Genomic DNA, 26,963 nt, shown 5'->3' on the forward strand with positions numbered 1-26,963 from the left:
GAAGTACATTAACTGGAAAATTCTGCAGCAGTGTCAGAGTTCCAAGGAGGAGGCTTGCACTGGCCCCCACTCCCATATTCATTGCTGGACATGATGGTAAGGTGTGAAGATGGAGAAAACGGGGCCCTGGGGTTTATTAGGGTCTCACAGTGAATAGTCAGTCTTGGGAGAGAGACTACCTCACTACAGGTTAAGTGCAAGGACTCTTCCTGCCTATGCTGGTGCCATTTGGCCTCCTCCTTGCAGCCACCTTTGTTGTCTCTAAAGCCTTTTCTGGCACCCACAGGAGGGTCCTGCCCTCTGTACCAGCACGCCTGCTTCCCCCTCCAGGCTGGAGTGCAGTGGTGCGATCTTGGCTTACAACACCCACCTCCCGGGTTCAAGCGATTCTTCTGCCTCAGCCTCCCAAGTAGCTGGGACTACAGGTGCACGCCACCATGCCCAGCTAATTTTTATATACTTAGTAGTGATGGGGTTTCACTATGTTGGCCAGACAGGTCTCGAACTCCTGACCTCGTGATCTGCCTGCCTCAGCCTCCCAAAGTGCTGGGATTACAGGCATGAGCCACCGTGCCCCGCCCCCTTCCTTTTAAACATAGCCCAGCTCCCAGCTCCCTCCACCTGCCTGCAAAGAATCAAACACCCAGAAAAACTCCTAACCTGTTTTCTTTTTTTTTTAGAGAGAGGGACACAGAAGCTAAATGCTTTGTAGCCTAGTGGATTAATGAGCCTCCTTTACTGCTGGACCCACACACAATTCCCAGTGCATTCCTTGGTTCAGCACCTCCACATTTAGGACCTAGGTTTGCCTCCAGGATTTCATGCTGGCTCATGTGCTGCTTTCTAAGGGGTCCTCTGTGTCCCACCTGCCTATAAACTGCTAGTGCAGGGACAGTTGCCTCCTCAGTCTGGGGCTCCCTGAGGTTGGGAGCTGTTTTGCTCTTCTAAGGTGCTCAAGAATGGGGCTGTGTCTTAATCACAAGGCAGTTAGTTGAAGGGTCACCTTATACAAGACAACTGAATAACCTGGGACCCTGTTCTCTGAGTCAGGAGACACATGGATTTGAGCCCTTGAGATCATGTCTGTGAGTAGGGAGAGGGTGTCTTCTTTCAGGCTGGGGCTTCAGAGGACCCTAAAGGGAAGAAAGACCCCTTGTTTTCAAATCCCTTCCCTTCCAAAATGCCTGCAATACCTTCCCATCCCGTCGTGGGCTCTTTCCTGTTTCTGTCATTCTTACCTGTGTCCCAAGCCTGTTTTCCCACCTGGGGGTAGGACCAGGGCTGTTCAGTATTTCTCTGCGATTCTGCAAAAGGGCTCTTGGCCTGTTGACATACCAGTGAGGCCACTGAACAGACTACAGAGCCCAGGCCATTCCTGCCCTCTGCTGTGCACCAGAGAAGGAGCCATTCACTGGTCACTCATTTATTGAGTGCCTACTGTGTGCTAGGCACAGGATACAGAGTGTGCGAGTCTCCTCACTGCTGTGCAGTGAGATGCCAACTCTGAGTGTGAGGGAGGGCAGAGTCAGTGCAGCTTGCTACGGCGAAGCTGTGCATTTATGCAGGACTGCTGCTTGACACTGAGAGTCCAGGAAGAAGCCCAGTGGGTTCAGTGTGGGCCTTGTGTGAAGTGCCAGCGATGAGGACAGGAGACACAGAGAAGAGAGTTGGCCTGCCGGCTTGTCAGCTGTGACATCCAGGTAGGAAGAAGCGGCACCGTGTCCTCTGGGAAGTCTGTGGTGGGGGCTTTTACTCTGAACCTTGGGCCTCATCCTCTCTGCCTGGGGAGAGTTTGGTATATGAACCATGGTTAGTCGGGGGTCTTGTCTGGCTCCTCCACCCTTAGAAGTCTTCCCTAGTTGCATTGAAGGCCTTCATCTTCCTAACCCCTCTCTCCTTTCTGGAGATATCTAGGGCAATGGGATTACAGGCTCATCTGTCATATCTTCCATTATTCAATTGCTAATGTCTCCAGAGCATGGATGGAGCCCACCCTCAGTTACCCTCTTTAAAGGTGGGGAAGGCTATCCAAGAGTCCTGGGAACATGGCGGGTGACATGGACTAGGAAGCAGGAGACACAGTTTAGTCCTGGCTCTGTTATCGGCTCACTGTGTGACTTTGGGCCAGTAGCTTTCCATCTCTGAAAAATGATGACTGACTCCTAGTATTCCTGCCCACACCATGCATGGAGGAACATTCATCTCTATTTGTTATTGAGGTGACTTCCATGGCTATTGAATGGAATGAGTCGAGCAGGTGTTCTTTCAGGGGTGCTAGGGAGGCGAGGGGTCCAGAAGTCTGCAGCTCCGGTGGAAGAGGTTAGGCACTAGGGAAGGCAGACTGGAGCTCAGTGTCTGTGACCTGCCGGGGCGCCCACTGCCCGCTCACTTGAGCTGTGACCTTTCCCCAACCTGATTGATTTATCTACTTTCATGCCTGGTCCCCTGAAACCATTTGGGGACGTGGCCTCTGCTAGAAAGTGTGAACTGATAACTGCTTATGGTGTTATTCCTCCCAGAGTGATCTGCACTTATTTACAGTGGTTGAAGGCAGAAAATCTCTGAAGACTAAAGGCATGACCCTCTAATGATCAATGATTAGTGTAACGATCAACGATTAGAGCTTTGCAAACAGTGAGGGAATGGGGGATGTTCCAAGGTCTGGAAAACTAGGCATCAGTCCCTGTGGTTTCAGCTGGCCCTGAGGGGCAGGGGTGGGGGCAGGGCAGAGTGTGCCTGGGTGTGTCATGGGTGGGGAGGGTGCAGCTTCTGGGCCATAGCGATTTCAATCTTGGGACCACCTCCTTGCACTCGACTGCCTCCCCTGGGGGCCTCCCCATGATGGCTTGTGGGGAGCCTGTCTGTCTAGCTGCCCAGCCCCCATCTTGCAGACTGGCAGCAAAGTGTCTGGCCATTTTCCCATGATGCCCTTGCAACCACCAGCGGCTCTTGCCTACCTTCTGTGAACAGGCTTCTCTTGCCCAGGAGGCCCTGGAACGTGTGTTCCAGCTGATATGCTGGTGGTGGGAGAGAGAAGTGGTAGAGGAGAGAGGCAGCAGAGGTAGGCTGTTTTGGGAACCAGGGAAGGACAAAGGACAGGGCCAGGGCGAGGGCCGGGGCCAGGGCTGGGGCCTTGCAAATGGGATCATTTCTCTGTCATCCCGAGAGGCGAGGAAACACCGTGGACTGATTAATTTATTCACTAGTTCATTCGTTGATTCCCTCCTCCCCCTCCTCCATTCTCCCTCTGCTCTCCCTTCACAAACGCCTGGTGGTGCTTCTAACAGGCAGAAACTGCTGGGAACTGGAGATACAGAGGCGACAGCAGACCTGATGCCTGCCTGTTGGGGGGCTTCCAGTCTGGGGACACCAGCCAGCTATGTGACCCAGCAAGACAGTGTAGTGCAGTGTGCCAGGAACAGGGTCGCACTAGGCCATGGAGACAAGCTCTGTCTGTGTACGGCAGGCAGTCAGGGAAGGAGAGCTGGTTAGGATGGGGCTAGGAGTCAGGTCAGTGAGGCAGGCCTGAAGGATGCGGTGAGTCGCATTAGGGGACTAGACTTGGTCCTGAGAGCGCTGAGGGAGTGGAGGGTACAGGTTGGTTACTTTTCTTTCTTTCTTTTTTTTTGAATGGAGTCTCGCTCTTGTCGCCCAGCCTGGAATGCAGTGGCGTGATCTCGGCTCACTGCAACCTCTGCCTCCCGGGTTCAAGCGATTCTCCTGCCTCAGCCTCCTGAGTAGCTGGGATGACAGGCACCCGCCACCACACCGGACTAATTTTTATATTTTTAGTAGAGACAGGGTTTCACCACGTTGGCCAGGCTGGTCTCGAACTCCTGACCTCAGGTGATCCACCTGCCTCGGCTTCCCAAAATGCTGGGATTATAGGCGTGAGCCACCACACCCACCTGGCCAGTTGGTATATTTTCTTTTGATTTTGTTTTTCGCTTTTCACTGAAAGATTTAAGCAGAGTAGTGGCTTCTTAGATTTGTACTTTTTTTTTTTTTTTTTTTTTTTTTGAGACAGAGTCTCCCTCTGTCACCCAGGCTGGACTCGGCTCACTGCAACCCCTGCCTCCTGGGTTCAAGTGATTTTCCAGCCTCAGCTTCTGAAGTAGCTGGGACCACAGGCACCTGCCACTACACCGGGCTAATGTTTGCATTTTTAGTTGTATTTTGTATTTTTAGTCGCCATGTTGGCCAGGCTGGTCTCGAACTCCTGACCTCAAGTGATCTGGCTGCCTTGGCCTCCCAAAGTGCTGAGATTACAGGCATGAGCCACTGCCTGGTCCAGATTTGCACTTTTAAGATCATCTGGTGATCTTTAAGCACTCTTATCTCTAGTGGTTGACTTTTTTTTTTTTTTTTTTTTTTCTAATTCCAGGCTTTAGACGTAAGGTAATTTTGAAACGCTGGTCGAACTAGATCCATCACTGTCTATTCCTATCCCTGCAGCCGCTCCTTAGGACCACCCCTCTTAAGGAAACAACCAGAAAGCCTAGCATGGCCAAACCACACTGGCCCCACCTCTGCACAGCAATGCCAGCCTGGCTTGCCCCTGGCCAGAGCATCTCCCCTCACCCACCTGGTTTGTTTGTGCTGAGGACAACTCAGCCCTCCCTAGGGGGCATGTTGAAGGCAGGTTTGGGCAATACTTACCTTTTTTTCTCCTTGGCTGGATCAGAGGTCTTCCTGGGGGAAGGAGAAGGAATGAGGACTACGGACTGCACTGCTTCCCTGGGGGCTTGGTGAGGTGGAAAAGGCTCCAGTTCTTTGAGGGTTGGTGCATTGGTGGGTCTTCAGTAGAATTCTAGTCATCCCCAGTTATCCTCTGTGGCAGTAGGAATGTGCTGGTAGGGGGCAGTGTGGAGTGGCTGGAAGTGCACAGACTTTGGGGTCACTGGCACCTGGTGCCAGCTGGGTGGGCATCCTTGGGAAAAGTGCTTAACCTATCTGAGCCTTAGTTTCCCCGCTTGTGATAAGGGGGATATTATTGTGGAGATTTAATCTTTTTTTTTTTTTTTTTTTTTTTTGAGAGTCTCACTCTGTCGCCCAGGCTGGAGTGCAGTGGTGCGATCTCGGCTCACTGCAAGCTCCGCCTCCCAGGTTCACGCCATTCTCCTGCCTCAGCCTCCCGAGTAGCCAGGACTACAGGCGCCCGCCACCACGCCCGGCTAATTTTTTTGTATTTTTAGTAGAGATGGGGTTTCACCACATTAGCCAGGATGGTCTCGATCTCCTGACCTCATGATCTTCCCACCTCAGCCTCATAGTAGGTGCTCAAGAAGTATTTTCTCTGACATTCCCATCCCCCATCCTTCATGAGTTGTTGGATTTGGAAAAGAAGTTTGAAATGGGCCGGGCGCGTTGGCTCACACCTGTAATCCCAGCACTTTGGGAGTCTGAGGTGGGCGAATCACGAGGTCAGGAATTCGAGACCAGCCCGGCCAACATAGTGAAACCCCATCTCTACTAAAAATACAAAAAATTAGCCAGGCATGGTGGCTGATGCCTGTAATCTCAACTACTTGGGAGGCTGAGGCAGGAGAATTGCTTGAACCCGGGAGGCAGAGGTTGTAGTGAGCTGAGATTGCGCCATTGCACTCCAGCCCGGGTGACAGTGTAAGACTCCATCTCAAAAAAAAAAAGAAGTTTGAAATGGCTCAGTTCAGAACTCATTTTGTAGAAGAGGAAACTAAGGCCAAAAGTGCTTGGTCACAAGTTGGTTTTCTCTATTTTTATATGTGTATTTTTTTTTTATTACAAAAGCAGTCCTTGAATACATCCACTATTTTGAAAAGGTTTGTACAAGTAAAATTTAAAGTCTCTCTTCCCTTTCTCCCCCCTCATCTCCACTTCTGTCCTTGAAGTAACCACTGTTTACAGTTTGATATTTATCCTTCTAGAACTTTCCCCATGCATTTGCATATCTGTGTGTATGTCGTTTTTTAAAAACAAGTAGGCTCCTCTTGAATATTGATCTGTAACATGCTTTTTCCCACTTAACCATGTATCTTGGAGATCTTTCCACATCTTTCTATGGGTCTGCCTCATTCTCTTTAATGGCCACAAGGGTTAAGGATACGTGTAATAGATTTTGACCATTCCCTGATTGATGGTGTTTATGTTATTTCCGAATTCTTGCTATTACAAGCATGTTGGCAGTGAATACCCTCAGGGCTCATGTAGTAACAGCATGTCTGCCTGAAAAGCGAGACTCTGGGTCAGAAAGGTAAGCACATTTCCAACTTGCCTGGATATTGCGAACGTGTCCTCCAAATAGACAGTGTAAAAGTGCCAGTTTTTTCACACCAAGCCAACACGGAGCATTACCACTTAAAAAATGTAATATTGACAATAAGAGAAAACTGCTCTGTGTGCAGAGTATTTTCTCCTGGTCCCCCAAGGACAGGACTCCTGAGTTGAAAGTGCCTTCAGGGAACACAGGTTTAAGTTAGTAATTTTGTTTCAGCCAAAGAAAATTGACTAGAAAGCTTGGCTTGTGGCTTTGCCCACATCCAGACTGGTCTCTAGCTTCACTGCCACTCCCCAGAGTCATCCAGAGCATGGAAGGCACCACTCAGGGTGCAGAGCCTGTGCCCCCACCCTTCAGGTGCCCGTGCTCCCCATTGTTGGGAACAGCCTTGTTTACACTTGTTGCCTGGCGTAATTACTAACACTCCCCAAAGTGTCCTGGTTGCATGCTAATTTCTTTTTTTGAGATGGAGTCTCGCTTTGTCGCCCAGGCTGGAGTGTAGTGGCATGATCTTGGCTCACTGCAACCTCTGCCTCCCAGGTTCAAGCAATTCTACTGCCTCAGCCTCCTGAGTAGCTGGGATTACAGGCACGTGCCACCATGTCTGTCTAATTTTTGTATTTTTAATAGAGATGGGGTTTCACCATGTTGGTCAGGCTGGTCTCAAACTCCTGACCTTAAGTGATGTACCCACCTCGGCCTGCCAAAGTGCTGGGATTACAGACATGAGCCACTGCCCCCCAGCCTGGATGATAATTCCTATGGACAGTCTGTGCCACCCCATCTCATGAGCGACCCCTACTGGACTGGAGTACCTGACCCCAGTTACTGGGCTTTGACTTAGGGCCTCTGCTTTATGTTGCAGAACCCACTCAGAACCCCTGCTTGCTGGGCTCCATTGTCATTGTCACTCACCTCCCACTCGCTTCCCCATCAGCCCAAAGAACTGGCTTGCCTTGCCCGTCTTCACCTCCTGCAGCTGGAGCTGAATGCTGGGGCCAGCGCCTTCCTGAAGAAGCAGAGAGTTAGTGTTAGAGTTGGGAGGTTGTCCAGCAGACGGGAGGCCAGCCTGGGCAATGGCAATCTCAGGAGTGACAGCTGGTGGTCAGCAGAGACTTGCTGTGCACTGGCACTGGGCACCTCAGCATATTTTACACAGTACTGCACATCTTTGTAATAATAGCTAACATTTCACCTACTATGTTCTGAGCACGTTGATCTAGTAACTAATTTAAACCTCACCAAAACACCAGGAAAACAGTACCCTAAGTACTGTTACTGTCATTTTACACATGAAAACACCGAGACACAGGTTAAAGAATTGTTCAGCTGGGCGCAGTGGCTCACACCTGTAATCCCGGCACTCTGGGAGGCCGAGATGGGTGGGTCGCTTGAGGTCAGGAGTTCGAGACCAGCCTGGCCAACATGGTGAAACCCCGTCTCTAATAAAAATACAAAAATTAGCTGGGCATGGTGGTAGACACCTGTAATCCCAGCTACTCAGGAGGCTGAGGCAGGAGAATTGCTTGAACCTGGGAGGCAGAGGCTGCAGTGAGCCAAGATCCTGCCCCTGCACTCCAGCCTAGGTGACAGAGCAAGACTCCATTTCAAAAAGAAAGAATTGTCCAAGGTCACCCAGCTGGGAAGTGAGAGGTGGAACCAGAAGTTGAACTCAGGCTCAAAGGCTGGTCTGAAACACTGCAGTCATAATCTCATTTAATCTTCACAACCACCATAACTAGTAGAAACTATGATTTCCCCCGGCCCCTGCATTTTACAGATGGAGAAACTGAGATGTAAGGAGGTTAAGTGACTTGTCCAAGGTCACACGGGAAGAGGCTGAGCCAAGATTCAAAGTCTGACTTCACAGTACTGGTTCTGCTCTATCATGGGAAGTGTCTCCAACATAGATGAGGAGAGGGCAGCCAGTGAACTCACGGTGGGTCCCCAGGAGGCAAGGCAGGACTGCTTCCCCTCCTTATCCCCACTCACCTCTCTTCCCCAGGCACTTCCCCCATTGTCCCAGATTTTCCTTGCCTTAGAGCCTGGGCCTCCCGGAAGGAAGTGGCATGTGGTCTGGGGGTGGAGGCTATTACCCTGGGCAAAGACATTTTAATCGTTGTGCTGATGGCATCCTCAACCAAGGACTGTGGATTGACATTCTCATTCTTCCATTAGCCTCTGTGACCTTGGCCAAAGCCTTCTCCCTCTCTGACCTTAACCTGAACTTCTGAACTGGGGCTTGCTCAGTTCTGCTGAAAGGGAGTCGCTCCCTAGTTGAGAGAGTGACAGTGGGTAACATTCATTAGACTGTCTTCACATGTCTGTATCCCCAGCTCCTGGCACTGAGCCTTGCACACATAGGAGCCCAGCACACATGGGACACAGAATGCCAAATGAGGAGTCCTTTCTCTGAGAGTCTGGGAATAGGGAGGGGGCTGGGGAGTCCCCTTTTCCAGGAAAGCTAAAGATAGACAAACAGAGCCCTAGAGTAATGCGAGCCGCCTGCCAGGAGCTGGGAGCTGGGCTTGGATCAGAGGCTCTTTCTTCCATCCCCAGTTTCCCTAGGGGTAGCGCTGGAGCTCCTGGGACCAGCAGGAACCTGGCTAGGGACGACATAAACCCTCTTGTCTCTCACAACTTGTGTTGTGGCACCTTTCAGGATCAGGAATGGATTGTTTTCTAAGCCTTGGACTAATTCACTCACTTCCCATCTGCTTCCCTCCCACCCCACCAGGACGTCAGTGGCTGGGGCATCTATCTTGAGCTGGAGTCACCCAGCCTGGCCAAGAACTGGAAAAGTCTCTTTGGGGATTTGGACCCATTTCTGAAAAGCTCATGAAAACCACTTTGCCTTGGTAAGAGGCAGCCTTCAGGTGCAAGCTGGAGAGAATGGCCACTTATGAATTCAATAGGACTGACCTTTCTCCCCCACTGGGTTTCTGTGCCTGGTGGGGGGGCATTCGGAGACATTGGTTTCCCATTCACTCCGACAGGACTCCTGCCCCCAGCCGGAGCCCTCCATATCCATTTAACCCAAATCCCCAACTCCAGGGATGACTACAGGTTGGGGGAGCCCCGAGAGCAAGGGAGGTAAGTGATGCGATCATGCCCCATTCCTGTTACCTCATTTTTTTTTTTTTTTTGAGACAGGGTCTCGCTCTGTTGCCCAGGTTGGAGTGCAGCAGCACAAGCACGACTCACTGCAGCCTCAACTTCCTGGGTCCCAGTGATCCTCCCGCCTCAGCCTTTTGAGTAGCTGGGGCCACAGATGTGCATCATCATGCCTGGCAAATTTTGTTTATGTTTTGTAGAGATGGGTCTTTCTATGTTGCCCAGGCTGATCTTGAACTCCTGGCCTCCAGCAGTCCTTCTGCCTCTGCCTCCCAAAGTGCTGGGATTACAGGCATGAGACTCCACAGCCGGCCGTCACTTATGTTATGCTTAGCATCCCACAGCATTTGTAAGTTCTTCCTGACTTCTAACCCAGTCTCCTCCCATATTCCAAGCCCTGTATTTTGGGAAGCAGAGGGATGTGATATTAAAGGAGAGTGAAAGGAGAGTAAGGATTAGACCCAGCTGCAGGATGAGGTGCTTTTGGGAAACAGTCCAGCAGCACTAGTTGAAGTTTTTAACGTTTCCCATGGGGCTGCGTAGTGAGGCCCATCACCCAGCAAGGCTTCTGTCTCTAGACCAGGTACCCTGATGTTTGGCACTGACTATAAAAGCATATCAAAGCTGGAGAAAAGCCTTGGGGGGTCACTTCCCTCCTCCGTTTTGCAGGTGAGGAAACTGATGTCCAGAAAGAAGCAGGCATCAGTGGAGACACTCCTAGCCCTGCTGCCCTCTCCTCACTGCACACACTTCCAGGTTCAGACAAACCGGAAAGGAAACCCACCATGCAGGACTGTCCATGTGATGGCTCTTCCCGTGGCTCCATTTCTAAGCGCCTCCGAGGACCTCATCGTGGCCCAGGACCGCAAGCCAAGGCCACCCCAGTGTCCTTACCATCCTGGGAATGGGAGGAGTCAGGCCCAGCCTTGTCCTGTCTGCCCCCCTGGAAGCCTTCCCTGAGCACTGGCCTCTTATTTACCCGTCTTTGTCTCTGGCTTGTTGGTATCTGTCCCTTGTCTGATTAGGGAACGCCTGAGGTCAGGATCTTTGCCTCCCCAATCAGATTGTCAGGCAGGAGTGGGGGTAGTGCAGATGCTGGGTCATTTCTACATGTGAGACCAAATAGTGGTCCTGTTTAAGTTGATCCCCTTGAAAGAAAATTCTGGAAAAGCTCCTCAGATGCACAGATACACAGAATCAGACCTTGGGCAAAGTGTGTAGTTGTGCTTTTGAAGCTGTGCAACCTTGGACAAACTACTTGACTTCTCTGTGCCTCAGTTTCCTTATTTGTGAAATGAGGGGTAGTCATGATACCTTCCCCATGAGGTTGATGGGAGGATTGAGTTAATATTTATAAAGCATTTCAGACAGTGCCAGAGATATACCGTGTGTTAAATAAGTATTTCTTACACACACACACACACACACAGACACACACACACACACACACACACACACACACACTTCGGAGGTCTGCCAGGCCAGGGCTCATAGCCTTGAATCTACCCATGGTAGAGAGTCAGACAACTTGCCTTGCAGACTGCCTGCTCTCCCAGCAGCCATGCAGGGGATCTTCTGCCTCTGCACTGCCGATTATCCCCTGCCCTCGTCAGAGCCTCTCCCCAAAAGTACCTCCAAGGCCACAATTACCCAGGTCTCTGCTTCAGTGCTGAGTGTCTGTTCCTCTCCACCATCACCTGCCACAGTGCACACGGACAGCTCCATCAGGAGAAGCAGGGCGAGGCAAGGCAGCATGGTGAGCCTGCACTGTCCTGGAATCTCTGGGAGCCCCTCTCAGCTTGAAGATGCCTCCTGCAGGCTTTGGTTTGCTCTTTGGCTCCTTGAGTGTAGATAGGGGAAACTCCCCCTGTTTTCTGGTCCTTCCAGCTGTTCCTGATTCCTTCCTTCAGCTTAACTGATCCCCAGGCCAGTTTCTGTGACTCCCCTCCCTCCCTGGCTGGACAGGCCAATGATATTAGGAGCTGCTCAGGAGGAGGGATCAGACCTCTTCCACTGCTGCCCCCTAACATTTGATCCCAGGGCTTAACACTCTGATGCAACACCTGCCTCACCTTTGGCTGTTTCCCTGGTGGCAGGTGCACAGTGGGGCAGTGTGTGGGACCTGGAGCTTGCAGCTTCCAGGCTGGAAAACCTGAAGGGACCTTCTCATCTTAGAAATAAGGGAGGGGGCCATATGCCTTCTCCCTACCTGGTGCTCTGCTCCCCTGTACAGAGAGGCCTCTCCCTGGAAATTAGCAGTATCCCCTTTCTGTCTCCTCTTCCTGTCTTTGAGCCCCCTCCTCTCCAGCATTCTCCTCCATCAATAGTCCCTGTGTGTGCAAAAGAACACGTCTTCCTTTAAGAGAAATAACACATTGCTTAAAGAAATGAGGCTCCTCACGAGTGGGAATTGGGATTTGCCAGAAAAATGGCTGCAGGTTTCAAGCGTCATTGGCTCTAAGTGATCTTTCCCCTGTTGTCAAAGTGATGTTTCTAAGTCCCTAAACTGACTTGTCTCTCCTGCTTACAACCTTTCAGTGTCTTCCCACTGCCCTTGAGTGAATTCAAGCTCCCTAGTGTGGCGTTCATGGTGTTTCATTTAGTTCTTCCCTCTCGCCTATCCACCCAGATCCATTCATCCATCTATCCACTCATCGGTCTAGAACAAGGGCTCTGTGGTCACAGAGGCCTGGATTCCAAATAGTTGTGTGACTTTAGGCACATTACTTAACTCTTCTCGAGAATCCTTGTCTGTAAAACAGGATTAATAATAGCACTTGTTACCAAAGTTTGAGGATGAAATGAGAGAATGCCCTGGAGCACTTAGCATAAAGCGTGATGGTCAATATTTACCACCTGCTGACTTTTTTTTTTTTTTTTTTTTTTTTTGAGACGGAGTCTGGCTCTGTTGCCCAGGCTGGAGTGCAGTGGCGTGATCTCAGCTCACTGCAGCCTCTGCCTCCTGGGTTCAAGCAATCCTCCTGCCTCAGCCCCTGAGTAGTTGGGATTACAGGCGCCCACCACCACACCTGGTTAATTTCTGTATTTTAGTAGAGACAGGGTTTCATCATGTTGGTCAGGCTGGTCTTCAACTGCCAACCTCAGGTGATCTACCTGCCTCGGCCTCCCAAAGTGCTGGGATTACAGGCATGAGCCACCGCACCTGGCTTGACCATTATTACTGTTACTGTTATCGGCATTGGGTGAGGCAGTGGGTGGTAGAAGATGAGTAAGACATTCATCCTGTAGCATATCACAGTTCAGGCACAGAGACCTCTGGTTGGCAGATAAGCTACGTTTGGTTTGACATGTGCCAGCGTAGCGGTGGGAGCAAGGGAAAGGCACGTGCGCCTTCCCAGTCCACCCCTACCCCTGTTCCAGGACAGGCTGTTGCCTCTGCTGGACCTCCCTTTCCGCCTGGTGAATTCCCATTCATTCTTAAAGATCCAGCTTAATACTCGCCTCTTCCATAGAATTCTTCTGTCTCTATTCCTGTCTCTAGCAAGAAGTAATTGGCTCCTTTTGCCAACATCTGCCACTTGGATCTCTATGGCTTCCCACGGGCCTCTATGTGAAGTTGTGCAGGTTGTGTCCTGCACAAGGCTGGCTGCAGAGGGGGCCAGTGGAGGTGAAACGCATCCCCAGCTCTGCTCACTGATCTGCGCAGCCTAGCTCGGGGTGTTCACCCCTGGAAGAAGAAGCTTGGCTCCAGTTCTCCCAAAAGGGACAGCTGGGCTGAGGGCATCTCTGCTAGTCAGCCATGTGGTTGTTGACTTTGCCATGAGCTCTCTGAGAGTAGGGCTGTGACAGATGTGTGCTTGGCATACAGTAGGTCCTTAAGAAACCTGCACTCACCCTGAATCCAGGCCAGCCAAGTCAGAGATGATTAAGGGTAAGTATGGAGTGTTTGAGGGAGGACTACCCCCTCCCCCCACCCAATTTCGGGAATCTTTTTGGTGCGTTCTAAACTGGAAGGCTTCAGAATCCCCAAATTTGCTAAAATGCAGCTTCCCCAGCTTAACCTAATTCCCAGGCAGCCAGTCCTGGCTTGTGGGTTGCTCCCAACTCTGCAGGGAGGCAGTCCCCCAGCCTCCCACTGAGCTCCCCCAAGCGCAGGACACCTAAAGCCTCACACTCCATTTGGGGTTTTCCATTGTCATTAACAGGTTCTTCCTTAGAGGAAACAAAATGTTGCGTTCATCCTCTTGGTTTCACAGGTGTGGAAACTGAGGCAGGCCGGGCTTGCTGTAGGATACACTGAGAATTCATTGGCCGACTGGCTTGGACCCCCCAGCCAGCTCTTTCCCACCTTCCAGTGGGGTCTTACCCACAGGGTTTCAGGCAGAATCACAGCCTGGGCCTCTAGACAGGGGAGATGGCCTTCCATTCTCCTGATGCAGATGGGGTGACCTTAGTCTCTACTGAGTGTCTGAGCCTTAGTTTTCTCCATCTGCAAATTGACGCTGACCCTCCTAGTATGTAGTAAAGATTTCATGAATTCCTGCCGGTAAAGCGTTCAGCAGAGTCCCTGACACACAGCACGCGCTCAGTTAACCCTAACTTAATTGTTGTGATGATGAGGAGGATGATGATTTTATTCCTTCGAAGGAGCGCTGGTCTCCTGGCCCCCTCTCAGTCTCCCGACCTCGCCAGCGCCAGAGCCATCCTGCATGGTCCCGACCTCGTCAGCGCCAGAGCCGTCCTGCATGAGGCAGGATGTGGTGGGCGCACAGCAGGGACGAGGCGGGGGGCACGGGGCAGAAAGGAGAGGGCGACGGGAAGAAGGCAGAGAAAACCCAAAAGGTCCGGAAGGCTGGGAGGGAGGCAGGGCACAGGCTGGAAACCGCGGCTATTTGCAGCGTCGCCCTCGGGCTGCGGTCAGGCTGGCGCTGGCAGTCCTGGCGGCCGAGCCCGCCGCCCCTCCCGGTGCCCTCGGCCACCCGGGCACGGCCCTGGCCGGTGCGTCCAGCTCCGCCCGGTCCCCGCGGCCCCGGCGGCGGGTGGGCTGCGGCGCTGCCGCCAGAGGAGGGACCCGGCCGATCCGGGGTGGGCTGGGGCAGGGCCGTGCGCAAGTCGGGGTGCGACCCCCGGCGGGGTATGTCGCGGCGGTGGCGCCCCCGCGGGAGCCGGGCCGGGGGCGGGTCGCGGCCGCGGCGAGGCTCCCAGGGCGCCGGGTGGGCGCAGGATTGCTAAACGCTGCGGTTTGGCTAAGATTGCGGAGCCGAGAAGAGAAAGGGCGCAGGAGGGAGGGATTTAAAACAAAACTAAAAGGAGGGGGGAAGCAGAGGGAAACGTGAGATGAGGGCGGATGAGGGCAGGAAGCTGACATTTCCTGAACGCCTCCTCCAGCCAAAGTCGGTGCGTGATGGGCCCATTTTACAGGCCGGCGCTGGGAGAAGGCCTCCAGCCATTAAGGGGCAGAGGTGGGATTCGAACCTAGACCTATCTGCTGCTCGCGGGCTCTTTCATCTTGACTGAGGAGCGCGAACCCGAGGGAGTGGGGCGTGGGGCTGGGAGGCGAGGCGAAAGGGAGAGGGCTCGGTGGGGGGTCATGACTGCCTGGTGGGGACCCTGGGGACAGGGGCAGCCGCAGGTTGACGATCTGGGTTCCTTCACCGACCACGCACGAAGGGTGGGGGGAGGTCTGCTTCAGTCTTTCCCGCGCCCCTCCAGCGCCCCCACGTGGAAACTTCTGACCACCTCGTTTCCCCTCCCAGAGCGCCGGCGTGGCGAGATCCAGGCTGGGCTGGAGCTGGGTCCTGGACTTGGAAAGGCCTGTCCCTGGATAGAGGAACAGGAGATAAAGCAGGGGCAGGGCTGCCACGGGCAGGGGGCCTGGGTGTCCTCGGGCACGTAGTGCGGCCCTTCTAGTGGCGGGGAGGGTGGTGGGTAAAGGTAGCCAGGAGTGCTTGACTGGGACTTTGCACCCTGCGCTTGGCCCTCTCCCGCTGTGATGGTTTAAGACTTCGGAAAAAACAACTCTTGCCCCAAGTCTTTGAGGTTCCTTTCATGCATTCATTCACTGATTCTGGATTTACTGAACACCTTTAAATGAGAGTTGCATGCGAACCCAGTTGAAAGAAACAGAGGGCTGGGCACAGTGGCTCACTGTCTGTAATCCCAGCTGTGGTGGGAGGATCACTTGAACCTGGGAGGTGGAGGTTGCAGTGAACAGAAATTGTGCCACTGCACTCTAGCCTGGGTGACAGAGTGAGACCCCATTTCGAAAGAAAGAGAGAGAAAGAGAGAGAGAGGAAGGAAGGGAGGGAGGGAGGGAGAAAGAAAAAAGAAACAGGCATCACAATTTTAACACGGGGATGAGGTGGGGCACACGGGGAAGAAAGGAGAGGGTGACGGGAAGAAGGCAGAGAAAACTCCAAAGGTCTGGAAGGCTGGGAGGGAGGCAGGGCACGGGCTGGAAACCGCAGCTATTTCCGCAGTGTGGAAAGTGCCATGGCAGGGCACTTGGGGGAAAAGGAGGAACCCAGGACTCCCTTTACCTCATTGATAATGCGGGTGTGCTCAGACACTTGTCCTAGAGAGAACACTTAGGGTTTGGAAAAGCGGATCTCTAGGTCCACAGTGTAGATGGAACAAACAGAGCCCTTGCCCTCTGTGCCCAGAGGTTGTGTGGGCAGATGCCTTTGCCCATATTCGTGGCAGGCGGTTTGGCCCAAGCCTGCTTTGGTCTTGGCATTTCTAGCCCCTCAGTTATGCCCCGTGTGTCTCTGAAAGGGCCTGAAGGTATTGCCCAGTTTCAGAAAGAAATTCTCACCACTAGCGGATCAGAGTTCTGTTTTGTTGTTGTTGTTTTGAGTCTTGCTCTGTTGCCCAAACTGGAGTGCAGTGGTGCGATCTTGGCTCACTGCAACCTCTGCCTCCCAGGTTCAAGCAATTCTCCTGCCTTGGCTTCCTGAGTAGCTGGGAAAACAGGCGTGAGCCACCAAGCCCGCCAATTTTTTTGTGTTTTTAATAGAGACAGGTTTCACCATGTCGGCCAGGCTGGTCTGGAACTCCTGACCCCAAGTGATCTGCCCGCCTTGGCCTCCCAAAGTGCTGGGATTACAGGCGTGAACCACCGTGCCCGGCCTATTTCTTAGACAAGGTTGAGCATACAAGGACCTTAAAGGTAGATTTCAGAAGCAGAGGGAGCCAGGCTGAGGGAGGCTGGTGAAGCCCCTCTGTTGGGGCATGTGGGGTCTTCTCCTGACCCTGGCCTCAAATGTGGCCCTGAAGAAGTCTCCCTCCAGAGTGCGTATTCCTCCCGGAAGCCTGTGTGCTATCAAGTCACCAGCGTCTGACCCCATTAGTGAGAGAAGAGAAGCTTATGATTAACATCAACCTTTTCTTCCTGGATCTTGGTTAGCAAGTGCGAGAGAAAAGTGAACAGCTAATTGCAAATGTAATTATAATGCACTGTCCTCTGTCTACCACGTGGAGCCTCCAGACCCCAGTGTCTGCAGAACGGTTTGTTTCTCTTATCAGGGAGGACTCTGGAGCCAGCCACATGGAGACAGCACCCACGGGTTGGGGACTTGGCTGGCGGGGACTTGGTATGAGGGGCGCACGGAGCTGCCCTTTTGGGATTGACCCTCCATCCTGCTCTCTCTGGCTGGACCAGAACCCCTGAGCTGATGGAGCTGGGGGCAGCAGCTGTGGGGGATGAGAGGCTGCCCAGTGTGTCTGTGGTCTGGGAGAGCAGGGGTTAGTCTTGGGGTGGGGAGGGAAGAACCCCAGTCCCTTTCTGGCCTCATGTGTGAGCACTCAATCAGGGAGCAGAGATGGCTAGAGAAGGCAAGTAAATGATTCTCTAAGTCCTTAGGGTTGACTTCCCAGGAAGCGTCCAGGTCTGGAGTTGGGACCCTAGGCTCTGCGGTCTTGGCTGGGCTGGCTCCCCATTCCTGCAGTTCTGCCCCTGCAGATGGAAACAGCTGGAAAGTTTTAGGGCACAGTTGCCCTGTGCCTCGCACTAGATGTGGGGCCTTTAAAGAACTTCCCTTTAGGGGCTGTACGATCTTCATGTCTTGGTACTTTCCCTCCACTTGTCTGCAGACTCCTCTTCTCCCTCCACTATTTCCTTGTTTTGCCTTCAGCTCTGAGTGACACTAGGCATGACCTTTCTTCTCTTTGAGACTCATCTGTAAAATGGAAAGTTTGTTGAATAGGAAGATCTGAGATTCTAAGTGAGGTGGATTGGAGATATCATTTGGAGTAAGTATGTATCTCGGACGGGCAGAGAGGGAGAGAGGGAGGGGGCAGAGGAGAGGAATAGTCTGAGTGCCACCTTTATGGTTAAGTAAACCATCATAGACAGGGATGCCCTATACAGTTGTGCAGGTTGAGCACTGCCCAAAGGTGCCTGGCTGAGGCAGATCATGGAGGCTGAAATTCAGCCCTGCTCATTTCACCAAACCAACCGCTTGGGCCTCACCTGCACCATTCAAGGAAGGGCTGCCTTTTCCCGTTTCACACAGATGTGCCTTATGGGCTAGCACAGGCCCTGATAAAGCCAGACTGGGGGGACAGATGATGAAATATTAGAGCAGAAATCCAAAGGGGATGATGGAACTTATCTTGTCCCCAAATAGGCATCCTTTGACCCCTAATTAAAATGCCTGTGCCAAGCATGGGGAAATAAGAACAAGACATGTCACAGCCCCAGAAAGCTTACACAGGGCAGGGGGAGAGAGGCATGTGACTGGAGACAAAGCACAATAGTACCATTGCTTTAAGCATGGCAACCATATTTATTTGAGTGTCAAATCAGGACATAGTGTACATTGTATGAGCACACATACAGGGCTCACAAAAAGGGGTTTTTGACTTTAGGAGTTTTCTGGTCAACCTGAGCATGAGTCTGGAGGAGTTATAGCAGAGTTTTGTACAGAGCATGGATGCATCGAGGGGAAATTTTGCTGGGAGAGTCAGGAAAAGTTCTCAGAGGAGATATTGAATGGTGGATGCCAGTTTGCCGAGTGATGATAGCGAAGGGTGTCTAGGCAGCGGGAACAGCACAAAAAGGTACTGAGGCTTGAAAGAAGACAGTTCTCACTGGGTTTAAGTTCAATGAGAGCCTGTACAGGCTGTCTGGGAAATGGGGAGCCTCGAATGCAATGCTGGGGAGCTTGGATTTTATCCAGGCGGATAAAATCCCTAGGGATTTTTATTTCTCTTAAGGGCTCTTAAACTCTCCTCTCCTCAAAGAGGTGATGAGGAGGAGGGAATGGAGATGGGGAGGGGCTGGAGGCAGGGAAGCCTTTTAGGAGGAAGTCATTGTAATAGTCCAGGGAAGAAATGGGTCGGCCTCGAAGGCAGACCTGGGGCTTGGGAGAAGAGGGCTGGGGCCAGTGACATTGCAGAAGGCATCAGGCACCAGTAGATCTGAGACCTGGAGGGAAGGAGGATTGGGAGGAGGAAGAGGAAGGAGAGCAGGCTCGGGGTGGGGGCGGGTGGGCTGTGAGTGTCCATTTGGACAATTTCATGGGAGATGCTGGAGATGCTGGAGCTCCAGGGGCAAAGCCATGGAGCTTTAAGGAACTCAGTGTTTGGGGCTGGTGAAGCTAGAGGAGACCAGGAAAACCCTGCAAAATCAACAATAACAGGCTGACATGGAGACCTAGGTAGGCTATGGCAAGGGGGTGGGATGGGAGAGACCGAGAAGGAGAATTAGAAGGGCAGGTGCATCAGGAGAGAGAAGAGGTGTGGACACCAGGGAGAGTGACACTTACAAAGGTACAGACGCATATGTACAGACATGTACATGTTCACACCTGATAAGGGCAGGAAGCATACACTTCTGAGATGAGCTGAAGTAACATCATCCATTTGATATGCTGTATTATTTGAATATTTTACAGTGAAAATATGTGCATGTATTACTTGCAGCATTAAAAAGCAATTGAAGGCCCAGTGTGGTGGCTCATACCTGTAATCCCAGCACTTTGGGAGGCCAAGGCAGAAGGATTGCCTGAGTCCAGGAGTTTAAGACCAGCCTGGGCACAAATCAAGACCCTATCTCTACGAAAAATGAAAAATAAAAAATAAAAAATAAAAAATTAGCTAGGTGTGGTGATGTGTGCCTGTAATTCCAGCCACTCAGAGGCTAAGGTGGGAGGATTGTTTGAGCCCAGGAGGTCAAGGCTGCAGTGAGCAGTGGTTGTGCCACTGTACTTCAGTCTGGGTGACAAAGCAAGACCTTGTCTCCAAACAAACAAACGAAAACAACAAACCACAATTGAAAACAGATAAAAAGTAATCAAAATGTCCATTAACCTGAGAATGGATTAAGCACTTATGGTAGTGGACTATTACACAGCAGTGAAAATAGATGAGTTAGAGTGCATGTATCAACATATAAACTCATAAAATGTTGACCGGGTGCAGTGGCTCATGCCTGTAATCCCAGCACTGTGGGAGGCTGAGGCGGGCGGATCACGAGATCAGGAGATCGAGACCATCCTGGCTAACACGGCGAAACCCCGTCTCTACTAAAAATACAAAAAATCAGCTGGGCGTGGTGGCACTCGCCTGTAGTCTCAGCTACTCGGGAGGCTGAGGTAGGAGAATCACTTGAACCTGGGAGGCGGAGGTTGCAGTGAGCCGAGATGGCGCCACTGCACTCCAGCCTGGGTGACAGAGCAAGACTCCATCTCAAAACAAACAAACAAACAAACAAAAAAACAACTCATAAAATGTTGAGCAAAAGCAGCAAAGTGCAGCAGAATACCTATAAGGCCAGCCCATCTAGGTAGAATTTACAAACATGAAAGACACATCTCCATGTTATGAAGGGATCCATGCACATGTAGTGAAAGTGTGAAATATTCATGGGAATAACTGATGGGTTTAGGAGGGAGCTCACCCATGGGGAGGGAAGGAGGGAGGGGGATGGGGTCAGGAGAGGACACAGGTGGTTTTAATTCTTCTTGGAAATGAGTTATTCCTTAAGCTGGGTAGTGAGCATTCGGTTTTGCCATACTGTTATATGTGCTTTATGTAATTCACCCATTTTGAAAAAAAAAAGACTAGAAGAGAAATATGAAAAGCCCATGGGGAGAGGAGTTTTAAGAACCAGGGCCTGGCCAACATGGCAAAACCCCGTCTCTAATAAAATACAAAACTTAGTCAGTCTTGGTGGCGCACACCTGTAGTCCCAGCTACTCGGGAGGCTGAGACAGGAGAATCACTTGAACCCGGGAGGCAGAGGTTGCAGTGAGCCGAGATCGCACCTTTGCACTCCAGCTGGGGCAACAGAAAGAGACTGTCTCGAAAAAGAACAAAACAAAACCATGGAAGGTGGCTGGGCATGGTGGCGGTGGCTGGGCATGGTGGCAGTGGCTCGCACCTGTAATCCCAGCACTTGGTAGGCTGAGGTGGGTGGATTGCTTGAGCCTAAGAGTTTGAGACCAGCCTGGGCAACATGGTGAAACCTTGTCTCTATAAAAAATTTAAAAATTAGGCCAGGCACAGTGGCTCACACCTGTAATCCCAGCACTTCGGGAGGCCGAGGCAGGCGGATCACCTGAGGTCAGGAGTTCGAGACCAGCCTGGCCAACATGGAGAAACCCCGTCTGTACTAAAAATACCAAAAATTAGCTGGGCATAGTGGCGGGCGCCTGTAATCCCAGCTACTCAGGAGGCTAAGACAAGAGAATCGCTTGAACCTGGGAGGCGGAGGTTTCAGTGAACCGAGATTGCTCTATTGCACTCTAGCCTGGGCAACAAAAGCGAAACTCTGTGTCAAAAAAAAAAAAAAAAAAAAAATTTAAAAATAGCTGGACATGGTGGCATGTGTTAGGAGGCTGATGTGGGAGGATCACTTGAGCCTGGGAGGTGGAGGTTGCAATGAGCAGAGATTGTGCCATTGCACTGCAGCCTGGGCGACTGAGTGAGACCCTGTCTAAAACAAACAAACAAACAAACAAACAAAAACAGGGAAGAGTCACCAGTGTCAAATGCAGCAGAAGGTCCCACAGGGAAGCAGGGGCTGGAGGCAGAGACATTGGGGTATCCCGGGGCAGGAGCATGCCCACCAGTGTATTGGGCCTGCTTTCAGTTTTCCTGTGAAGAATCCTCCTGGCCAGAGGGCCCTAAAATCCCATTATCAGCCAGTGGTCCCCTGGGGGGTTTCCCCTGTGGCTTAGAGCCCCTGCAGCCTCTGGGACTTGCCTCTGGGACTCAGAGGCAGCGCCTTGGTTCTTTGATGTTGTTAATGATGGTAGAGTGAAGCTGTCCTCCTCTCTCACCAAAGAGTAAATGGAGTCATCACCTTGAGACTCATTGGAAGACCTGAGGGGGTGATAGTAGTGCCACCAGCCAGTGCTCCCGGAGGTGTAGGTTGGCCCTGAGACAGGGGGATGACCAAGCTGACTTCAGGAAGAGTTGGAGAGTCTCCAGTGGAGATTCTCCGGCGCCCAGGGGCAGGTGGGCGAGGACGATGTTGAGGCTTGAAGATTTGGGGAGGCCAAAGCCAAACCCTGGTGCCCAGGCATGGAGAGTGAGTGCTGCCCAGGCTTGGCAGACAGCAGGCTGAAAGATGCAGTGCCAAACTGGGGAGAGGGGCTGCCAGGGTTGAAGATCAGAGGAGCGGATGGGGGAGCCGGGGCACTGTCAGGGCTTGAAGCAGGAGGCCGCCGGGGGTGGCATGTTGGGGAATCAGTGAAGCCAGGGGAGGCTGGGAGGAAGCAGGCATTGCCAAAGCAGCAGTGGGAAGGAGTCAGTGCCAGCTGAAGGCCGGGGGTGGGGAGCTGGGGCAGCAGGAGGGAGCCCTAGCACTAATTCCCTCCCCAGACTTCCTTCGGTTTTGCAACAAAAACAGATGCCCCTGTTGGTGAGTTGTAAACAGAGTTTTAGGGTTCAGAGGGTTCTTTGTGGGGTCTTTTCCAATCCTGTTTTTGCACAGATGGAGACAGCAAATGCCCAGAGTTGGGGAGGTTGGCCTATGCAAGGCCACCCGGTGAGTCTAGTGACAGGACCTGGATTGAACCTGCCTGCATGTCCAGGTCTCTGCCAATGTCTGTGGACTGTAGGGTGGGGACCTGGGGGGAAGGGGGTTCCCAGAGTGAAGGGCTCCAGTCCTGACCACAGGGAGCAGCAGTCCTACTGGGGAGGGAGACGAGACGAGGCTCAAACACATCTAAACCCAGCCATGGATGGAAGTTCTGTGTGCGCTGTCGGGGAAATATTCTGGAGCAACAGTGGACTGGCCCTCCGGGAGCCAGTGTCTTTGAGGGAGGTGTGCCACAGAAGCTGTAGCTTGGGCAGTGCTCCAAATAAAGGGGAGGCTTTTAAATCCATTAAGAGTTTATTTTCAGTGGAACCCAAATATCCCAGCATACTAGAAAAGATGTGAAAGACAAAAATCCATCATGAAGGTGGAATTATTATTATTATTGTTATTATTTTTGAGACAGAGTGTTGCTCAGTTGCCCAGGCTGGAGTGCAGTGGCAGTATCTTGGCTCACTGCAACCTCCGCCTCCCGGGTTCAAGCCATTCTCCTGCCCCAGCCTCCCAAGTAGCTGGGATTACAGGCATGCACCACCACACCTGGCTAATTTTTGTATTTTTAGTAGAGATGGGGTTTCACCATGCTGGCCAGGCTGGTCTTGAACTCCTGACCTCAGGTGATCTGCCCCCCTCAGCCTTCCACAAAGTGCTGAGATTATAGGCGTGAGCCACCACGCCTGGCCAAGGTGGAATTATTGTTGGGTGTCTAAAGCTAACCTTGGTTCCTCATGCTGTCTGAAGGGAGCCAGGGTGTGGGCCTCCAATCAGCAGATAATCCTGACCCCATAGGTCTGCTGGGGGACAGAGTTGAGGGCCTTCTCTTAGCTTTCGTCAACTGCAGCCCCAGGAATGTGCACCGCAGGCCAAGGGCAGAGGTCACTGGGGAAGTGTCCCGGAGAGCATCAGTTCGCCACCTCGTTAGACAGTGCCGCAGCCTGAGGTCCCGGGAGAAGTAACAGCCTCAATGTTTGATTTATTTCTAGGATGTTTGCGGCCTCGCATGTGACTAGAGGAGTGTTTGCCATTCTGGGAGGGCGTTAGCTTGAACTAGGGTGGTGCCGCCAGAGGGCAGTGAATGGCCCTGGGATAGGTGCTCAGGAGAGTGGGCCTGGCTGGGCAGAGATGGAACTGTGGGGAGGGGCCGATGGTGGCCTGAACCCTGAACTGTCTCCACCCTGTGTTTGGCCTGGGGATGCTGAATGATTTGGAAGGGTGGCCCACCATCAGGGGAAGGGCGGGGTGTCCAAAAGTTCCTGGGGGCTGCAGGATGGGACCCATTTAGCCTCCGCAGTCATCTGACCCCCATGACTCAGGCCTGGCCCTGCCCTTGAAGGGCACTGGGCCAGTCTGAGCTCATCACCACTGCCCAGAGCAGAAGTGGTAAACAAGTTCACCCTCGGCCTCCCACCCCTGAGAGGAAGCAGAGGGTGAGGTGGGGGCCCTCAGGCAGCTCAGCCCAAGCCTTCTACATAATGCAGGTGCATGTCACGGGTGTCCCAGGGGCTGGTGGGGTGTGTGCTGGGCTCCTGCATGCGGGCGACACGCACAGGTACATGCTTCCCTTCACTCACACTCATGGGGGTGCCCATGGCCAACCTTTCCAGGGGCCAACTTGGCCAGGTTCATGGGGACCATTTTACCCCCTCCGTGATGTCCAGGGCCAACAGCCCAATGCTCATGAGGCTGGGCCTGAGGACTGGGGGTCCCCATGGAGTAACCCCTGGTTTGATTCCCTGGTCGTCAGGCCTCACGGCTCAGACCCATGTGCTATGGGGTCCCTTATGGCTTCTGGGACCCTAGAGATGCCACAGAAAAATATTCTTGGCCTACCTAGGTCCGTGGTAACATCTGAGAAGGTCCGATCTTCTTAAGCATCTTGCTTCTCCTGTTATCTTCTGCCCTCCCTTCCTCCCTCTTGCCTTTCTCTGTCTTCCTCCTTTTCTTTTTCATCCCCTGTCCTGATCTTTCTCCATCGCTTTTCTCCTCTCAGCCCAGGTAACTGTTATTGCTACTTGTAGCCACCAGATGGCACCAGCGCATCATGTGTCCCCGGTCCTTGCTGGGGGTCCCCCCCCCACCCGCCAAGATGATTAACCTTTCACAACACCCACACCCTGTCCAACGCCTTCCCAGGACTTTACACCCAGAGGAAAACATGCAGCAAAATACCAGCAGGGCCAGGGTAGGGGCAGGAGCATCCAGCTCCCTGGGGAGAGCCTCTACCTGCCATTCCCTTCAGGGTGTCCGCCCACGCCCACCGAGGGTGTGATAGCCTTTACTCCCGGCAAGCCAGTGAGGTCCTAGTGATCATCTCCAGAGAACAGAATTCAGAGAAGTGAAGCCACTTGCTGAAGGCAGGACAGCACGTGTGTAGCGGAAGGGAACTCAAACCCAAGCTTCGCAGGTTCCAAAACCCTGGGCTTCCTGGGCAAGTGAGGCAGGAAGGGGCTGGGGCAAGGATCTCCAGAGCCAGAGCGCTCTCTCCCACACCAAGTCCCTGTTCCTACTTCCGTCCCTCTCATGTCTCCTTGGTCCGCTTCTTTCAGACCTGACTCAGAACCCTCTGCCCAGGGAGGTGCTCGTGATGACCTCAGCCCTTGGGTCCTCTTAGAATTTAGGCATCTGGGCCGGGCGCGGTGGCTCATGCCTGTAATCCCAGCACTTTGGGAGGCCGAGGTGGGTGGATCACCTGAGGTTGGGAGTTCGAGACCAGCCTGACCAACATGGAGAAACCCCATCTCTACTAAAAATACAAAATCAGCCAGGCATGGTGGCGCACGCCTGTAATCCCAGCTACTCGGGAGGCTAAGGCAGGAGAGTCGCTTGAACCCAGGAGGCGGAGGTTGCAGTGAGCCGAGATCGCGCCATTGCACTCCAGCCTGGGCAACAGAATGAAACTCCGTCTCAAAAAAAAAAAAAAAAAAAAAAAAAAAGAATTTAGGCATCTGTACATGAACCAGTTTCTTTTTTTCCCTTTTTTTGCCCCTTTGTTCTGTGTATCCTGGCACTCTTTCTCTTCTAATGAGGTTGAAATGTAGAAGAGGTGGTCCCTGCCCTCTGGGAGCCCCCAGGCTGATTTGAAAACATAACTCTGCCCCAGGGGCCAATCGAATGGGGGAGACAGAGGTGCGGCCATCTGGGAGCCCCTGCTAGTGTTGAGCCTGAGCTAGGTGAGGATATTCAAGGCAGGCTTCCTGGAGGAGCCAGGGAAGGGGTGGGCCAGGACTAGGGGAGGTAGGCTGAGTGAGGGTAGTGCCCTCTGTGACAGCCATGGGGCTAAGAGTTGTCCAATGATCTTCATGTGTGGGGAGCAGAGGTGGGGCTGTCACAGCCCTGTATTCAGGGGAGGGGACCGCGTTGGCCCTAACTTGGGCTAAGCTCCCCTCTGGCCCATCCCGCCGCCCCACCCCTCACTCCCTGTCCCGCTGGGAGGCTGGCTGTGGGCTGGGGCCAGGAGGGCCAGGGTGGGGTCCCTTCCTCAAGGCTGGAGCAGGATCCTCAGCAGGCTGTGGCAGTGCCCAGGAGCCAGAGAGGAGCCGCCGCCCCCCACCCCCTTGGGCCCCTCTGTAATTAGGGCTATTTTTAGGCCCCTCTTCCTTCCTATTTCAGGCCTCTGGACTGGGCCGGAGAGTGGGCTGTCCTGGGGCCGCGGGCTGGAGCCGCTAAACTGGGCCGCGGCGTGGGAGCTGCAGCCACAGCAGAGACCACAGCCCGGGCGGAGTCCTGGTGGGGGAGGGGATCCCAGGACGTGGCCAGGCCTGGGGCAGGGCTGGGAGTGGGGGCGTGTCTTGGCTCATCAGACCCCTCCCTGGGCCCCTTATGGATCGATTCCACCCTCTGCCCATCCCTCTGCCAGTGCCCCCAGCCCTACTGATGTGAAGCAGTTAGTCCTTGGCCTGCAACTCTGTGTGTATCCAAAGATTGTGCAATGCCAGCACTTTCAGGCAGTGTTGGCCCTAGGAGCGATGCCCAGAATGTTCATAATAATGACCAGCATTTATTGAGTGCTTACTTTGTGCCAGTTACAGTTCCGGCGCTTTACCTGTATTAACTCACTGCTTACAACAGCACGTTGAGATCAGTGCTATTTTATCTCTATAAATGTCTCAGATAGAAAGATTGAGACTCAAAAATAGTTCATTTGACAGCTGGGCACAGTGGCTCATGCCTGTAATCCCGGCACTTTGGGAGGCTGAAGCAGGAGGATTGCTTAAGCCCAAGAGTTCGAGGCTGCAGTAAACTATGATTGCAGGACTGCACTCTGGCCTGCGCAACAGAATGAGACCCCATCTCTTTTTTTTTGACTTGGAATCTTGCTCTGTCACCTGTCGCCCAGGCTGGAGTGCAGTGGTGCGATCTCGGCTCACTGCAATCTCTGCCTCCTGGGTTCAAGCGATTCTCCTGCCTCAGCCTCCCAAGTAGCTGGGATTACAGGTACGTGCCACCACGCCTGACTAATTTTTGTATTTTTAGTAGAGACGGGGTTTCACCATGTTAGCCAGGCTGGTCTCAAACTCCCGACCTCGTGATCCACCTGCTTCGGCCTCCCAAAGTGCTAGGAGTACAGGCGTGAGCCATCACACCCAG

At 52.8% G+C, this 26,963-nt stretch overlaps 1 protein-coding gene and 1 long non-coding RNA gene across 6 annotated transcripts, besides 4 other annotated features; one reads left to right on the forward strand and one right to left on the reverse strand.

Moving 5' to 3' along the window:
• Positions 1,408 to 11,177, reverse strand: TAC4 (tachykinin precursor 4). 5 transcript variants are annotated; one of them, NM_001077506.2, is made up of 5 exons: positions 11,021 to 11,177; positions 7,172 to 7,265; positions 4,660 to 4,692; positions 2,958 to 3,017; positions 1,408 to 1,781 (listed from the first exon to the last, which is right to left on the reverse strand). In NM_001077506.2, the coding sequence occupies exons 1-5, from the start codon at positions 11,123 to 11,125 to the stop codon at positions 1,750 to 1,752; spliced, it is 324 nt and encodes a 107-aa protein (NP_001070974.1). In that variant the 5' UTR covers positions 11,126 to 11,177; the 3' UTR covers positions 1,408 to 1,749. The 5 variants fall into 5 exon arrangements, with proteins under 5 accessions (NP_001070974.1, NP_733786.2, NP_001070971.1 ...); NM_170685.3 differs by having other exon boundaries at positions 11,003 to 11,177; NM_001077503.2 differs by lacking the exon at positions 4,660 to 4,692.
• Positions 8,994 to 10,750, forward strand: FLJ45513 (uncharacterized LOC729220). The gene is made up of 3 exons (NR_164135.1): positions 8,994 to 9,114; positions 9,253 to 9,349; positions 10,040 to 10,750. It is a non-coding gene; the product is annotated as an uncharacterized LOC729220 (long non-coding RNA).
• Positions 23,272 to 23,674: a transcriptional cis regulatory region, noted in NCBI's record as "candidate enhancer chr17.3537 targeted for multiplex CRISPR interference". NCBI's record gives its function as "positively regulates LRRC59 and PHB gene expression in K562 cells {active_cell/tissue: K562}" and the evidence as "EXISTENCE:mutant phenotype evidence [ECO:0000015][PMID:30612741]".
• Positions 23,272 to 24,355: a biological region, named in NCBI's record as "CRISPRi-validated cis-regulatory element chr17.3537". NCBI's record gives its function as "regulatory_interactions: LRRC59 | PHB1".
• Positions 23,406 to 24,355: an enhancer, noted in NCBI's record as "H3K4me1 hESC enhancer chr17:47937661-47938610 (GRCh37/hg19 assembly coordinates)". NCBI's record gives its function as "activates a minimal SCP1, AML or CMV promoter by ChIP-STARR-seq in naive H9 embryonic stem cells {active_cell/tissue: H9 hESC(naive)}" and the evidence as "EXISTENCE:reporter gene assay evidence [ECO:0000049][PMID:30033119]".
• Positions 24,356 to 25,303: an enhancer, noted in NCBI's record as "H3K4me1 hESC enhancer chr17:47938611-47939558 (GRCh37/hg19 assembly coordinates)". NCBI's record gives its function as "activates a minimal SCP1, AML or CMV promoter by ChIP-STARR-seq in primed H9 embryonic stem cells {active_cell/tissue: H9 hESC(primed)}" and the evidence as "EXISTENCE:reporter gene assay evidence [ECO:0000049][PMID:30033119]".

Source organism: Homo sapiens, chromosome 17, assembly GCF_000001405.40.
Source record: "Homo sapiens chromosome 17, GRCh38.p14 Primary Assembly".
In the NCBI taxonomy this organism is placed as follows: Eukaryota; Metazoa; Chordata; class Mammalia; order Primates; family Hominidae; genus Homo; species Homo sapiens.

Excerpts from the sequence above, each read along its gene's own strand:
- TAC4 (NM_170685.3), bottom strand. The coding sequence starts at position 11,125 with ATGCTGCCTTGCCTCGCCCTGCTTCTCCTGATGGAGCTGTCCGTGTGC. Across the intron at positions 7,266-11,002 it reads GGGTAATTGTGGCCTTGGAG|GAAGGCGCTGGCCCCAGCAT; the intron begins GTACTTTTGGGG and ends CTGCTTCTTCAG. Across the intron at positions 1,782-2,957 it reads GAGAAGCCTGTTCACAGAAG|GCAGAGAGGATGAGGCCCAA; the intron begins GTAGGCAAGAGC and ends AACTCTCCCCAG.